The 16,653-nt window shown below is 41.6% G+C and overlaps 1 protein-coding gene across 12 annotated transcripts in view, besides 3 other annotated features; it reads left to right on the forward strand.

Moving 5' to 3' along the window:
- Positions 1-16,653, forward strand: part of MTUS2 (microtubule associated scaffold protein 2) — a 685,985-nt gene that overhangs the window by 527,470 nt on the left and 141,862 nt on the right. For all 12 annotated transcript variants that reach the window (XM_047430227.1, NM_001384605.1, XM_011535019.4 and 9 more), the window contains one exon: positions 11,830-12,041. In XM_047430227.1, coding sequence (XP_047286183.1) covers positions 11,830-12,041 — 212 coding nt within the window. The remainder of the gene's footprint in view (positions 1-11,829; positions 12,042-16,653) is intronic.
- Positions 15,485-15,704: an enhancer, noted in NCBI's record as "active region_7518". NCBI's record gives its function as "activates an Ori minimal core promoter by ATAC-STARR-seq in GM12878 lymphoblastoid cells {active_cell/tissue: GM12878}" and the evidence as "EXISTENCE:reporter gene assay evidence [ECO:0000049][PMID:35858748]".
- Positions 15,485-15,814: a biological region, named in NCBI's record as "Sharpr-MPRA regulatory region 1517".
- Positions 15,520-15,814: a silencer, noted in NCBI's record as "tiled region #1517; K562 Repressive non-DNase unmatched - State 12:CtcfO". NCBI's record gives its function as "represses a minimal TATA promoter and a strong SV40 promoter by Sharpr-MPRA in K562 cells {active_cell/tissue: K562}" and the evidence as "EXISTENCE:reporter gene assay evidence [ECO:0000049][PMID:27701403]".

Here is a 16,653-nt window from a genome sequence, read left to right on the forward strand (position 1 = left end):
ATGTTTAGTTTGCACATATTTGGGGACCTCTCAAGGACCTTTCTGTTATTGATCTCTAACTTGTAATTCTTTGGTTGGAGAACATACTTTGGATGATTAAAAAAAAAACCCTATTCCTCTCCTCACAGCACCTCTGACACGACACGTGTGGGGTTTCCACACCAAGCAATTATCCACTTCTCTGTGGACGCCACCTGAGTGTCCTACAATTTGATTCAAGTATAACACTAATTACCCAGAGTTAGCACAGACCACACAGGTTAAGGGCTCAATCTCACAAGACTACCCCTCACTTTAGGTGCCAACTACAAGTAGTAGGTGTGTATGTGACCCACACGTCTGTCTGACTTGGCTACAAATTGGAGGTTCTCACAATCTCCTCCATAAGTTGAATAATTTATTATAACAGCTCACAGAACTCAGGGAAACATCTTACTTACATTTACCAGTTTATTATAAAAGATATGATAAAGGATACAGATGAACAGTTGGATGAGGAAGTACACAGAGTCAGGTCCAGAGGGATCCCAAGTGCAGGAGCTTGTGTCCCCACAGAGAGAGGTTGCTCCACCCTATTGATACCTGGATGCATTCACCAACCCAGAAGCCCTCTGAATCCTATACTTTAGGGATTTTTATAAGGCTTCATCACATAGACATGACTGATTCTTAACTCAATCTCCAGCCCCAGAGGAAGGGGAGAGAGGCAGCTGAAAGTTCCAAGCTTCTAATCATGGCTTGGTCTTTTTGGTGACCAGCCCCTATCCTGAAACTATCCAGGAGCCACCAAGACAGTCTATTAGGGCAAATGATGCTTCTGTTACCCAGGAAATTCCAAGGGATTTAGGAGCTTTGTGACAGGAACTGGGATCAAAACCAAATGTTAGAACAAAAGATTCTTCTAGCATCCATATCACTCAGCAAAGTGCAAGGCTTTTAGGAGCTCTGTGTCAGAAGTTGGGGACAGAGACCAAATATATATTTCTTATTATGTCGCAGATGACTTGAATCCTTTTAAATTTATTGAGCCTTGTTTTAAGACTCACAGCAAAGTCTGTCTTGGTAAACATTTCATGCATACTTAAAAACAGTGTCTACTCTGCTGTTGTTATGTGGAATGTTCTACAAATGTCATAGGTCAAGTTGGTTGAAGCATTGTCAAGTATTCTATACCCTTACTGATTTTCTGTCTACATGTCCTACCAGTAGCTGAGAGAGGGCTTGAAATCTCAGACTGTAATTGCAGACTTGTCTGTTTCCTTTGTCAATTTTATCAGCCTTTCCTCCATGTATTCTGAAGCTCTGTAAGGTATATAAAGTTTTAGTTTTATCATTTTGATGAATTGGCCACTTTATCATTATGAAATTAACTTCTTTATCCCTGGTAATACTTTTTTCCTTGAAATCTGCTTTTTTCATTGTTAATAGAGCCACTTCAGCTTTCTCTTAGTTTCAGCATGGTATAATCTTTCCATACTAACCTTTTCATCTATTTGTCTATTGATTTTTAAGTAGGTTTCTTATAGGCCTCATGTAATTAGATCTTACATTTTTATCCAATCTGAAATCTCCGGCTTTCATATGCATTTGATGTTATTACTGATTTATTGAGATTAAATCTACCATCTTGCCGTATTTTCTATTTAACCCATATGTTCTTTCTTTTCTTTTCCCTCTTTTACTGCCTTCTTTTGGCATTGGATAGTTTTTTATGATTCCATTTATCTCCTTTGTTCATGTATTAGCTATCTGTCTCTTATTTTTGTGTTCTCAGTGGTTGTTTTAGGGTTCATAATATATGTCATTAGTTTTAACATTCTAGCTTCAAGTGACATTATATCACTTTGTACGTGGTGTAGGAATCTTACAACAGCATATTTCCATCTCTCTTCTGGCATTTGTGCTATTGTGATTATATATTTTGCTTCTACATATATTATGAACCTATAATACATTGTTATTATTATTGATTATCAACACTCAGTTTTCTTTTAAAGAAATTTAAATAAGAAGAAGTCTGAGTTACTCATTTAATTGCCATTTTTAGTATTTTTTATTTCTTTGTGTAGATCTGCACTTCTATCTGGTATCATTTTTCTTCTGCCTGAAGGACTTCCTTTAACATTTATTGTAGTGGAGATTTGCTCGTGGTGAATTCTTTTGGTTTTTGTTCACCTATACTTTTGATAAATATTTTTGCTTTGTTCAGAATCCAAGTTGGCATTTTTTTTCTTTAAGTACTTAAAGATGCTGTTTTAGTGATTTCCAGCTTGAATGGTTTCTAGTGGAAAATCTGCTGTTATTCTTATCTTTGGGTCTTTGTACATAATGTGTCTTTTTTCTCTGGCTGCTTTAAAGATGTTCTCTTTATCTTTGGTTTTGAGCAGTTTGATTACAATATGCCTTGATATTGTTTTCTTCCTGTTTTTGTGCTTGAAGTTTGTTGAAATTTTTGGATCTGTTTTTATACAGTTTTCATCAAATAATAGGGTGTTTTGTCCATTGTTTCTTCAAATATTTTCAGTCCTAATTCTTCGTCTTCAGGGACTCTAATTACACATTTATTAGGCCTCTTCAAGTTGCCCCAGAGCTCCTGTTCAAAGTGATATTCTGTTCATTTCTTTGAGTATTTCTTCTCTCTGTGTTTCATTCTAGATAGTTTCTCTTGCTATATCTTCACTACTTTTCCTTTCCCTTTCTTTTTCTTAAAATAACATTTATTTACTAACTTACAGTTCTGTATGTTAGACATCCAGAAGTGGCTTAACTTGAATTCTCTGCTCAAATTATCACAAGGCTAATATGAAGAAATCAGCTAGGCTGAGTTCTTGGCTGGAGGCTCGGGAGAAATATTTGCTTTTAAAGTCATTTAGGTTGTTGGTAGAGTCTATCTCGTGTGCTTGTAGTACCAGAGTCCTTGTTTCCTTGCTGGTTATCAGTCAGGGACCACCTTCAGCTCATAGGGCCACCCACATTCCTTGCTGTGTGCCCTACTTTATCTTCAAAGCAGTAATGGTGTGTTGAATCCTTCTCAGACTTCAGATCTCTGACATACTCCTCTATGACCAGTTGGAGAAAACCCTGCTTTTAGTAAACTTACTTGATTAGGCCAGGCTCACCCAAGATCATCTTCTTCTTAATACGTAATATAAGATAGTCATGAGAGTGGTATCTCATGATGTTCATGGTTGTTATGCAGTTGTTTTAGTCCGCTTGGGCTGCTATAACAAATACCATAGATTGGGTGACTTAAACAACAGATTTTTTTTCTCATGAATCTGGAGGCTGAGAAATCCAAGATCAAGGTGCTGGCTGATTTGGATTCTGGTGAGGGCCCTCTTCCTTGTTTGCAGATGGATACATTTTTGCTAGCCTTACATGTGGGAGAGATAGATTATTGCTCTCATATTTCTTCTTATAAGAGCACTAATCCCATTCATGAGGGCCCCACTCTTGGGACCTAATCACTTCCCAAAGGCCCCACTTACAGATGTCATCACATTAGGAATTAGGGCATATATATATTTCATATATATATATATATATATATATCTTCAGAGGACACAAACATTCAGTTCCTAGCAGCAGGGTATGTACATGAAGGGGCAATCATTGAGGGCAAGTGTAGGGTCTTGCCACCACAGGTGGAAGTGGATTTCAAGTCCTAAAGGATGGCAACCTGGAAATGCTACATAACCATGGTGGAGAGATCTGGGAGGGACAGTTTTTCTTTTTCCAAGATCTTCATTTCTTTTTGATGATGATGCTTCTTTTTTCAGATTACTGAATATCAAAGAAAATCAACTGAAATGGTTAGTGCCTCCATCAGGCCTTTGGGCCTTCAAATGACATCTGGCCTAGGAGAAGCTTTCTGGGTGGCTCATTTAAGGAGAGTTTCTCTCCCCTCCTGGGCTGTAAATTGAATCGTGGCAGGAACTATATTTTCTGTCATCTCTCCCATCCCCAAAACAAAACAAGCCATAACAACAAACATCCCCTGACCCTCATGTTTCTGACACATCTTTCTCCCCCTCTGGACATCCAGGCTTGAGAAAGAATTGTTTATGTTCCCCATCCCGGTTCCCGTGCTTACAAATAACTCTACCTGCTGCCATCTAGACACTCCACTATTCTACTACAAAGGCCACTACTGATTTCTTGGTTAGTAAGTTTTTTTGTTTGTTTTTTTGAGACAGGGTCTCCCTCTGTCACCCAGGCTGGAGTGCAGTGCATGATGTCAGCTCACTTCAGCCTTGACCTCCAAGGCTCGAGCAATCATCCCACCTCAGCCTTCCAAGCAGCTGGGACTATAGGCGTGTACCACCATACCTGGCTAATTTTGTTTATTTTTTTTTTTTTTTTTGTAGAGATGATGTCTCTCCGTGTTGCCCAGGCTGGTCTCAAACACCTGAGCTCAAGCCATCGTCCCGCCTTGGCCTCTCAAAGTGCTGGGATTACAGGCATGAGTGAGCCACTGTGCCTGGCATTAGTTAATTCTTGATAGATATGTCCTGTTCCTTAGCACTTTCATTTTACATTATTGATTACTCCTTTCTTTCTAAAACTTGTTCCTTCCTTCGCTTCTTTGAACAACCCCATCTGCCTATTCTCTTTTTGCATGCATCTGCAAGTGTTGGTTCTTAGTTGCCTTCACTAGAAACCCTTCCCCAGCGTTTTCTAAATCTTGCCAGGTGATATTGGCAGAAAATAGACTGAACTGAGTTAAATCCTAATTTGGTGAATCATGTGTGACCTCCTGGAAATTATACAACTTCTCTCTCAGTTTCTTCTTCTGTGAAATGGAAATTTTACCCATGCTGCAGGGTTATGGTGAAGGTGAGTGATGATGCATGTAAAGCACCAACACGTCAGAGCTCTCAGTCTTCCGTAGCTCCAGCCTTCCTGATAGCAGAGACCATATTTTAAAGATAGAACATTCTGACGCAGCTGTTTTGATGCCAGCATTTTGATAAAATGGCAGCCAAATATCCCCATGTCCAAATGGGCCTATCAAAATATCCTTATTGAGTGTTTTTTATTAGTTGAGCTATAATTCACAAACCATAAAATTTGCCCTTTTCAAGTGTACATTTCAGTGATCCCTGGCAACCACTAGTCTACTTTTTTGTTTTATGGATTTAATCTACTCTGGAAGTTTCATGTGAATGGAATCATATGCTTTGAGGCTGTTTGTGTCTGTTTCTTTCATTTAGTATAATGTTTTTAATGTTCATCCATGAATCAGTGTTTTATTTCTTTTGATGGCTGAATAATATTCTGTTGTATGGATATAAAACAATTTGTTTATCCATGCATTAGTTGGTGGACATTTTGGTTGTTTCACTTTTTGCCTACTATCATTAATGCTGCTATGAAAATTTGTGTCACTAATCTTTTCTTTTGCAGTATCTAATCTACTCTTCATCCTTTCAGTGTATTTTTCATCTCAGACCTTGGAAATTTTTCTCTACAGTTCTTATTTAGGTCTTTTTTGTCTTCCTTGTCTTACTTGACATGTTAAATTATTCCTCTAGCTTCTTAAATATACGAAATACATTTACAATAACTGTTTAACTGTCCCTGTCTAGTAATTCTGTTATCTGTGTCATTTTTTGTCAGTTTCAATTGATTGCATCTTCTCATTATGGGTTGTATAACCCTGCTTGTTTACATGCCAGGGGATATTTTTTAGATGACAGGCATTATGAATTTTTCCTTTATGAGTATTGGATATATTTTTATTGCCATAGTATTTTTTTTAGACAGCATCTCACTCTGTTGACCATCACTTCAGTGGCAAGATAATATCTCATTGCAGCCTCAACTTCCCTGGCTCAACCGATCCTCCCACATCAGTCTCCCAAGTAACTAGGACTACAGGCACATGCCACCACACTTGGCTAATTTTTTAAGGATTTTGTACAGACAAGGTCTTACTATATTGCCCAGGGTCGTCAACCCTGGCTCAAGCAATCTTCCTGCCTCAGCCTCCCAAAGTGCTGGGATTACAGACACACACCACTGCACACAGCTGATTTTTGTATTTTTTATACAGGTGGGGTCTTCCTGTGTTGCCCAGATTGGTCTCTAACTCCTGGGCTCAAGCAGTCCACTCACCTCAGCCTCCCAAAGTGCTGGGATTACAGGCATGAGCCACCATGTCTAGCCCCCATAGTATTCTTAAGCTTTTTTCTGGAGTAAAGTTATGTCACTCGGAAGGAGTCTGATCATTCTGGGTTTTGCTTTTCAGCCTTATTAGGCAGGTACTGATCAGCACTTCTTCCTGGCTAATTTTTCTACACTACTGAGCAAAACCCTTCTGAGTGCTTTACCTGATGCCCCATGAATTACGAGGTGTTCCACGCTGGCTGCTGAGAACAGGAATTATTTGTGGCCTTTGGTGGACTCTAAGTATTGTCCCACTAATCCTTGGCAGAGTTCTGTCCCCATCCTGAGATCCTCTCTCCACAGGCAGGTATGCACTGATCAGAATCTGGCTGAAAATTTGAGGTCACTCTTCAGATCTTCAGAATTCTCTCTGTGGAGCTCAATCCTCTGTGGTATCCTACCTTGTACGCACTAACTCCTGACCTCCCTGAGCCCCTAGATCCACTTTCTCAACTCAGAGAAACCTCCAGGCTCCACCTGAGTCCCCTGATTCCCTGCATCACAGTTTGAAAAGTCACATGGGCAATGAGCTTAAGCAACTGTAGACTCACCTTGTTTGTTTTCTGACTCTCAGGGATCACTGTGCTTCAATATCTATAGTTTAATGTCTTGAAAACCATTGTCTTGTATATTTTGGGCATTTTTTTTTTTTTTTTTTTGCTGGTTTCAAATGAGAGGGTAAGTCTAATCCCACTTACTTCATCTTGGCCAGAAGTAGCCATATTTGAATGTAAATATTTGGCAATTGTCATAACACTATTAAGCCACTATTTTTCACCCTTGGAGAAAAAAGGGATTCAGATTTACCTTGATAAATAGCACCTGTACTTCTTGTAAATCACAATAAGTTTCCTAAAGTTGAAAATACTGTATGCCACGTTTTATCTTGTCTAGAGAGTGGGTTATATGAACAAAGTGTTTATTGTTAGATCTGGAAACCCTGATTGTAGCTTCCTGTTTTTCTGGTTCTTCTGTACATCAAAATAAAAAAGAATCTGCTCCTACCTTGGGAGTACCTTGCTCCTACAGGGCATACTTATGGGATGGCCTGGTGCTGCCCAAATTTGTAATTTCTGCCCCGACCTGTACTTAAGACCAGCTGGAAGGAAATCCCCACCCACAAGCCATCTGCTCAGCTTCTCCCCACCACCAGCTCACCCCAGCCAAGCCATTGCCAGTACTAAGTAGGAAAATAGTGGGCCACTGGGCAAAATTTTTTGAAATAAATTTAGATTGGTTTGATAAAAATAAAGCCTGTCCAAGTCCATGAAGAACTCAGCGCAGGGACTCCCTAGAGTGTCCTGCTGTCTGTCACGATGCTGACCAAACCCGTGAACTGCTTTGTCTTTAAGTGGGAAGCTATCAAAGTTCTGTCCTATAATTCTTTGCCTTCTTATCTATGGTGTGAAGGTCATGGGCCATCTCTGATGTTATAAATATTGAGGTTCCCGTGCTGCACTATTTGTTATTGTGTCAGTTAAGCTTTCCAGCTTTAAAATTAAACCAAGCTTTTTCATCCATTACAATCCTCTGGATAGGGACTGGATGGCTGCCGATGAATTTTTAATATTTTCTTTCCATTTTCAAGGGCCGTGTCCTCTCCAGTGCTCAGCCTTTGCACGCAACGCCTAGCCTTTGCACGCAAACTGTTTGCATCCACCTTTGTGCTGTAGAAGGTCACCAGCTTCTCCCTGGAGACCTCACAGTTGCCAGCTGCCACTGAGATCAGCATGGATTCTATCTTCTCCTAACCAGAGTTATGTAGCCAGTAGGACCAGCTACAAAGAGATTATGATTGGGGTAACATTTAGATGGCAGGAGGGTGTTCTAGATTTAGAGTATGCACCCAAACCAGCGAGATCTGTTAGAGATGTTGTAGAGTGGTTCAGCAATGTGCTTAATTGGTAAGAGCCCTGGGCAAGGTGGTCAGAAGACCAACAGCCAGGCCTGGCCAGGCTCCTACAGGACAATGGATTGCCTGAGGGCAAGGACTGGCTGTATTTCTTATCATTTCCCACTGTGCCTTGCACAGTCTTATTCACAGAGTATGTGCTGAATAGAAGGTGTCAAATGTTTTTGTCGCCAAAAACCACATGACATGAAGCATGCATGTGAAATCAGCTTTGTGTGTAGGTCATGACGAAACACTAATCTAGGTATTTCTGCTTGTATATTTCACACAGAAAAGGAAGTACATTGGAGATAAAGCTCATTAACAGTTCGGTAGTGTACTAGGGCCAGTCAGTAAGAAATTGGCAATTCTACTCTATTTTCCCTTCATTTAAAGATTCTGAATCCATTGATAAGCCCTGTGTTGAAGGCCTCTATTCACTAATATCCATTTCCTAGTTCAGCTGGGTGGAAATCAGAAAGACATTGTAGGGGACCAGAGTGTTGCTTCTTTGGAAAGAGTCTAAGTAGGTTCTGGCTGCCTGCATGGTGAGGTCAGTGGCATGCCTGCCTGCTTTGCTGCTTTGAACCTTAGACCACCCCAGAAACAATAGAAATACTTCAAGCAGTGGGGAAGGAGGTGATGACAAAACACTCCTACATCTAAAAGTGTCATGGGGGAACATGACATGCCCCTCCTTTAAAGCCTGCATGGTGGCTCTTCCTGAGAAATATGATGGGAAAGAGGTCAGGAGTGGGTCACCACCACACCAACACCACTTCTCATCCCAGACCCACCATGTGCCCTGTGAGCTGTCTGTGACCACCACCCTCCAGAAGTTGGCCATCTAATTATCCGATACAAACCTGGTACTTCCTAAGCAGATGTGCATTCTAGCTTCACTGTCTGCCAGCTCTTGAGAGAAAAATGAGAAGCAAACACCTGTTCTGAAACAGCTGAAGCTGGCCATGTCAGTGATCTTCGTTCAACATAAGCTCTCTGTCCCCAAGGTGGCAGTGAGCCTGAGCTGCGATCTTTTTGTTTCACCCTGGGGACGGTATGACATGTGGGTGGACAGGAAAGGGGGTGACAGACAGTACATCAGGGAATCAGCTATAGAAGTAGTAACAAAGATTGACAGCACGAGAAAGAATACTGTTTTTAGCGAAGACAAAAGACTGCCAGTGACAGTACGATGATTATTAGTCCTAGGCAAAGTCACGCTGGATATGTTTAGAGAATGGCAGGACCCTTTTCAACTTAAAGCAATAGAGAACTCTACAACCAACTTTGTTTCTCAGCTTTTTCTTCCTAAAGTCTTAGCACTGGTGCCGGAGCCTTGATCTGTGCTCTGACAGTGATTGAGTGCCACCAGTCCTGAACCAGGATTGGTTTCACAAGGTAGTTTGGTGTCACAGAGCGGCTAAACTTTCACTTGGTGTGTTGATCCCAAAAGTGGGTGTTGTCAGAGGAGCCTCTGTCTTAGCTCAGAATGCGGGTTGTTCGCTGGCCCCAGAAGAAGAGGTGAGCTTTTTGCACTGTTGTTCAGTAGAACACTGGAATTTTGAATAGGTGAGTAAAAGCAATATAATAATGACACCAATATCAAAGTAAGTGCCAAGAATAGAATTTCACTGAATCCTTTTATATTCTCCATTTACCATTGAGTATAATTTCTAACATGATGATGATGATGATGATGATGATATTATTATTATTGTTATTAAAGGTGGTAGTTCTTAGGAGCTATCCTCCCCAGAAATAAATCTAACAGCCAAAAATGCGTGACAGTGTGAGCGCCTGCTAACGTCCACAAGCTCAGAGGTGACTCTCTGTACCATAGGTTACAATTAGCTCTAATTCACTGAGCTGGAAATTGTTTTATTATTTCCTTTAGATTTCTAAAAGAAGTGCCTTCTATTGTAACAGTGTCAGGCACCTGGTACCTCAACAAATTAATTAAAGCACTGAAGTGTTTTATAAAATCACGAGCCACAGCAATAAAATGGAAAACAGCAATTGTGGGGAAAAAAATATCTATCTTTGGTCTTAGGCTGTGTCTTAGAGTTTAATGCAGGCAATAAAATCTCTCACCTTTTCTTGATGATGTTTAGTTGGTAGTCATATTTGTTTTGTTTTCAGCACTGAGAATGTTGAGATAAAGTACATATTCAGGTTGATTTGCCTACAACAAGCAAGTGAGTTTTCTGGAATATTATGTATTCTGCTATCATAAACACAGTTTCTATGAAGCAGTGATTTCACATTCTCCTATTCCATTAAGTCAGAATAATTTACGATATGCCATATGTGAGGTTACATGGCAATCTCTGATGACTTTTTAGGAGGAGAAGGAATTAATTAAAATTAGCATGGTTACCCTTAACCACTAGAAGCATTTAGGTCAATTAACCACTTTCCCCTTAAAAGATGAGGCCACTTGCACGTTCACAAACCCATTACTCTGCATTGTCTCAGTACACCAGGTACTGAAGGGGCTACCATTTTCTGGTTTGTTTTATATGTTGCTCCCTGGTATCTCGGAGAGGAAAACAGAAGAGGAAGAAAACATTTGAAATATTAGTGGATTTATGATTGTGCTGGTCAGTGTCTGTGTCATGTCCTCTAGGAGTGTAATCTACTAGAGTGAAGGAAAGAACGTGCCTTTGAGATGTAAGCCCATTGTCAATAGCAGGGGTTCTCCGACCGCCTGCACATCCCAGGTCTGTCTGTGCCTCCTACAGAGGGACCAGAGGAAGACGCCTGCCCATGCACGGGTCTTGGACTGTGGTGGAGTGCTTTCCTCTGTGCTATTTTGGGGGACCTTGCCTTTTCTTTTTTGAGCTTCAACCTAAAAATCACCTCTCCTTAATGCCCAAAACCCTGTCCTCAACCCCAGGCAGAGCTCCTTGCCCCGTCTTCTGTGGCCCCACAGCCCCTCACATTCACCTGGCAGGAGCCAAGTCACAGAGGGCTTTGCCGGCCATGGTAAGGTGTGTGGACTTCCTATTCATCGTGAGAGAAAGTGAGCAGAGGGGTTCACACAAGTGATGACGTGCCTCACGTGTGCAAAGGTCATTCTGGCTGTGGCGTAGTGAAGGAAGAGAGGAAGCAGGGCTTCCCATCAGAGAGTGAGAGGGGATGGCGGCTCAGACTACACCTTTAGCCATGGAGGAGGCGTCAAGTCACATTGGAGGGATGTGTTGCAGGAGACCTCACAATACATTGGTGCTATAGGAATTTAAAGTCAGGAGTTGCTAGAGCAGCGGTAGCCAGGGCTGTGACTTGGACGTGACATTGAAGAAAAGGGTCACTAGAGCAGCCTCTACGGCGAAGAAAGGGGCATCGAGGTGTTATTCTCTGGTGCCCAATTAAAAGGTTGCTAGACGATTATAAGTCTGACTTCTATCTGGATTGATTGATTAATTTCCCATTAGACATTGTCAAAGAGTAATCTCCTTTAAGAAAAAAAAAAAAAAAGCTTCTCTCTCTCCAAGCAAGCCTAGAAGAAGTGTCGGAAGCTGGAAGGAATTTGGCAATTTTGTCTGTTATCCTTTTTCCAAGCACGAAACCTTGCACTTAACAACCACATTAATGGAACAATAATTTTAGTCCCTGACTGTTTTTTCTTTTCAATCCTTAAAAATGACAAACCGTGGGCAATTTCTTCTCTACCACTTGAAGAACTCCTTGTGTAATAAGAAGCCGTTGTCACATGTGTACTGAGTGTTTTTTCACAGGTGACCGGGGTTTGGTTTTCTTTCTCACAGGATACCCAAAGCAGAGGACTGCGGCAGCTCGAAATGGGTTTCCGCCCAAGCCGGACCCGCAGGCCCGTGAGGCTGAGCGGCAGCTGGTGCTGCGGCTGAAGGAGCGGTGTGAGCAGCAGACCAGACAGCTGGGCGTTGCGCAAGGGGAGCTGAAGAGGGCCATCTGCGGCTTTGATGCCCTCGCCGTGGCCACGCAGCATTTCTTTAGAAAGGTGAGGCCCCATTTCGTGAAGGTCCAAGGGCATTTTGGTTGGAGGAGAGTGTGGTGATGGTGACGGTTGTTTGTGTATGTTGCTGTTTTGGGTTTGAGTTTTGATCAGAGTGGAGTTTGGATTTTCAGGAGTTCAGGCAGAATCTCCTGAGGCATCCCATCATCTTTGGGGAGCCACGTTTATCCTTAGGTGTGAAAGAAATACGTCTGGGAAGGATCATTAATAATCTTCATTCCAAAATACGAAATTATGTAAAAAATGAAAGGAAAGGATATACAGGAACATTTTTGAAGGTGGGATCTTTGCAGGAAATGGAGCGTGTGGTAGTTTGCATTTTCGAGGGGAGATGGTCACTTTCCGACATTACTGCTCACATCACAACAAAGGGAGACAGGGCCCCAGTACCGTTCACGTCGGCTGTTGATGGGCAATGGAATGTGCTTGGCCTGGGACTCTTCTCAAGGCCATGCTCACAGTTCCCAGAGCAGCATGGGGTGAGGTTCGGATTCTCCTTGTGCCCTCAATTTTTCTGAAAATGCAGGGAGGTTGGTTTCTCCTCTGCAAATGTCTGGATCTGTGTGTGTATACTGAATCTGTTATTAACCATGGAGCAGATAAGCATCCCAGCCTTTCCCCAGGGAACAGAGGTGGGAGCCTAGTGTCCCACTGCATTTGTTCTCCACCTTGAAGTCACCAAGGTGTGCTTGGGGGAGAAAAAGCATAAACATAAGTGCACATTTTTGAGATGCACATATGGACCTCCTGGTATCTATACATGGGAGGAAGTAAAAGTGCTGTATAAATGCTCTCCAAATAAGAAAGTGAATTAACGAAATATCTGGTCAATTTGAAAAGAAAAGCAGAAGAATGTGAAGTGGCTCCATGTCCCCTGGCAGCTCCTTTTTGGCCTTTTATGACATCCTTCACCTTCCCCTCTACTCCAGTATAGAAGCCTGAGCTGCTCTTTTTTGTTGTTATTATTTTTGTTTGTTTAAAGCTTTCAACAGAAAGAGCCATTTATCAATCTGTTGTGGTATTAAATGACAAGATGAGTAGACAGCCCTGAAATTTCCATTTTACCAATAGTTTCAGCCTCCTCCCCAACCAGAATTTTAACCCCAGCAGAAAATGGCCAATGTGAATTTCATACCTTCCTTTCTGGTCTAGTCACGATGCATGACGTGATCTGGTAAGCTTGCATAAAGTAGCCGAACACCCCCCCCCCCCCGTAAGAATTAAAGTTACAAACACGTCTTCAAGGAGCCCAAGAGGCCTGACTGGCCATGGTCAAGATGAGCATTTTTGTAATTAGGGAAGGTGATTCGTCGTATTTCCCACTGACTGTCAAGTTGTACCTAAAGAGGAAAACAGGGCTGTTCCTTGAAGTTCAGTGACCCTGTTTTAGTCACACTGCCTGCTCTGGGACTCTGCCTTCCAGACATCATCCAAAGAGTCAGAACAAGCCCTTGATAAAGGTTTCATATGATGGACAAAGCAATAGATATTGATATAATATATTGATAATATGTTCCGTGTTTTAGAAGTTGGAACTTTTAGGCCCCACTTTTGGGATCATGGCAGGGGAGAGAGTAACTGCCAAAATTAGGGGTCAGTTCCCTGTAGTTATGCACTTCCATGTTCCAGGAAAATTCCTTGTTGGCCTGCAGACCAGGAGTTTTACTTCTCTGTAGCATGCATGTGGCTCTCAAACCAGAGACCAACAGCGGCTGGCAGGTGATTTGCAGGCATCTCCACTGGACCTCTCTGCTACTACAGCTACACTTGGCATGACATTTCAGCAAGATGGATGGTGGACATGAATTTCATTTTCTTTTCAGTAAATCACAACCAGTAACTCCAAATGGGCTTCAAAAATGACCGTGGCATTTCACCTCCCACACAATGTATTTTTTTCTCTGTCTTTCTGATCTCTACGCTATCTTTCTCTCCAGATAAATGCCAGAAGAAAAAACAGAAGATAAAATGTTTTTTTTTTAAAAAGTTAAAGTCCTAATTGAACATAATCAGTGGCTTTTATGCAGGCCGTCATGCATGCCATGTAGTTTAAGGTGATGGATTTGAGAATTTGCTAGTAATACTGAATTAGACCAGGAGGTGTGACATGGGGTGGAGAACCTGGGAAAATAGAGGCAAAGCAGCCCTGAAACCTTCAACAATGGAGCCCTTTGAAGTTACCAGGTCAGGAGAACCCAAGGTACCCCATGTCACCCTTGTGAGAAACCCATGCATTATTATTGTGAATGAGATCTTGTCTGAGCCAAGCATGCCAGCTTTGAGGAAGCATGACCTGTATAGCCTGAAAATGCATGATCTCTTTGTTCTACCAGTTAGAAGGCCCTGCCAGAATTCCATCCTGTAAGGAATGCACGTGTATCTTTTGTACACTGTAGCATATTTATCTGCACAGCATGCTCTGGTGGAGAGAGGACGCAGTGCTAACCCAGAGTCAGTTCCATCTCTGCCCCTATCCAGTGGTGAGACCTTGAGCAAGTTCCTGCCTCTGTGCACTTCGTCATCATCACTGTAGGAATAACATCCCTGTCCTTGTTCTCTTTCCCCCTGGCTGAGTCATTAACTTTGAATCTCAGTTTTCTCCATTTAAAATAGAATTCATAATAACTCTTCACAAAGTCATTGTGAGAATGTAGTGAATTAATGTGCAAAGATGCTTTATAGAGATGGGTCTCACTATGTTTTCTAGGCTGGTCTCAAACTCCTGGCCTCAAGTGATCCTCCTGCCTCAGCCTCCTAAAGCACTGTGATTACAGGCATGAGCCACCATGCCCAGCTGGCAAAGGCACTTTTTTAACAAATATTCAATCAAACATTCTTTTCTGAGTACAAAGAAATCTGTCAGGATCTACCTCAAGGATTTTACTCTCAAGTGGGAGAAGGTGAAAACACAGTCAAAGCCCTTGAAGAGCTTGGCCTGGAATGTACTTTAAAAATAATTTAAGAAAATAATTTTCAGTGGCCAGGCTCGAGCAGCCTGGCCAACATGGTGAAACCCCATCTCTACCAAAAATAAAAAAAATTAAAAAAATTAGCCGAGTGTGGTGGCACGTGCCTGTGATCCCAACTACTTGGGAGGCTGAGGCAGGAGTATTGCTTGAACCCAGGAGACGGAGGTTGCAGTGAACCGAGATTGCTCCACTGCACTCCAGCCTTGGTGACAGAGGGAGACTCCATCTCAAAATACATTTTTTAAAATGAAAATGAAAATAATTTTCTAGTATAGCTCTTCAGTTGCTGCTATATATTTTTACCTGAATATGCTGATGCCATTAATTTAAATATGTGTTGGAAGTAAGCCTCACCACTAGAGAAAAAGAATTAGAAGCCCAGATAAGAATCTCCCTTTTCTGCCCCATGCTTTATAGCTCCTGGCAGAGTAGCTGTGAAAGTTGTCAGCTCTAACACAGCCTCAGCCCAGCGTCCAGGGATTCTAAGATGCCACACTTAGGTGCCAACAGCAGCCTCACACTTGTGCTGGTTGCAGGCAGCTCTGCCCCTGCAGCAAGGTATGTTCCTCACCACGGGCCAAACAGATCTGCTGTATCCATGCTCCCAGACCCCCAAGTGGTGTAGTAATGAGTGTGACTCTCAGGGACGGACTCGCGCTCCTTAGGGTCAGGTTGAATGGTGTGATGGTGCTTTTGCTGTGTGGTTCCCCGTAATGCTACTCTTTAGCATCCCCTGGTGGCTCTCCCATGAAACAGTCCACAGGATGGTCCTCACCCTGCAGCATGGAGTTTTATACACATTACCTGAGGGTACATGGATTTTCATGTTACTTTTAATAAGATTTATTATACTTATTCAGTATTTTTCATATCTATTCTTGTCTTCTTTGTTAACTTTATGAATGTGATTGTAGATGATGGTTTTGAATTTTTTTACATGTTATTAAATAGTTTAGGCATAAAAGACCTCAAAATGAATATGTCAAGCATTTTTGGACTTTCTAAACTTACTAAAAAATTAATAATTCACCAACCTCCTTCTTCTCAGAGTGTGTATATATTTTAAGGCTTTTATTATTTTACCTTTTATCACAAAAAAAATTTAATATAGAATAGTGGAAAGAATAAAACCCAGATACCCCATAATCCATATTTAACATTTATTAACATTCTGCCATATTTGCTTTATCTGTGTCTTGTTGTTGTTAGTTAGGGGTATGTATATTTTTTATATATTTTGTATATTTGAACTTCAACCTTTCACCTTCAGTTCACATATATTAGTAGACAATCTTTAGCAACTCTGTCTCTACCATATGGGGTGGGTAGGTAGGGAGGATTCAAAAAAGTAAGAGGCAGAACTTTAACAATAGAGCTCTTATTTATTGACCATCTACTATGTCCTGGGCACTTAACAGGCATTATTTTAACCCTCACAACAACCATAGCTGTTGTAGATATCATCCTCATGTGATGCCTGGGGAAACTGAGGTTTGGGGAGATTGCATAGTCCTCTGAAGACAACATAATTAGAAAGTGATGGAGCCAAGATACAAATACAGGCCAGGCCACACCCAACACTCATGTTTTTCCACTATATTATGATGCTACTTCTCCCTCTCTTCACA

Source organism: Homo sapiens, chromosome 13, assembly GCF_000001405.40.
Source record: "Homo sapiens chromosome 13, GRCh38.p14 Primary Assembly".
In the NCBI taxonomy this organism is placed as follows: domain Eukaryota; kingdom Metazoa; phylum Chordata; class Mammalia; order Primates; family Hominidae; genus Homo; species Homo sapiens.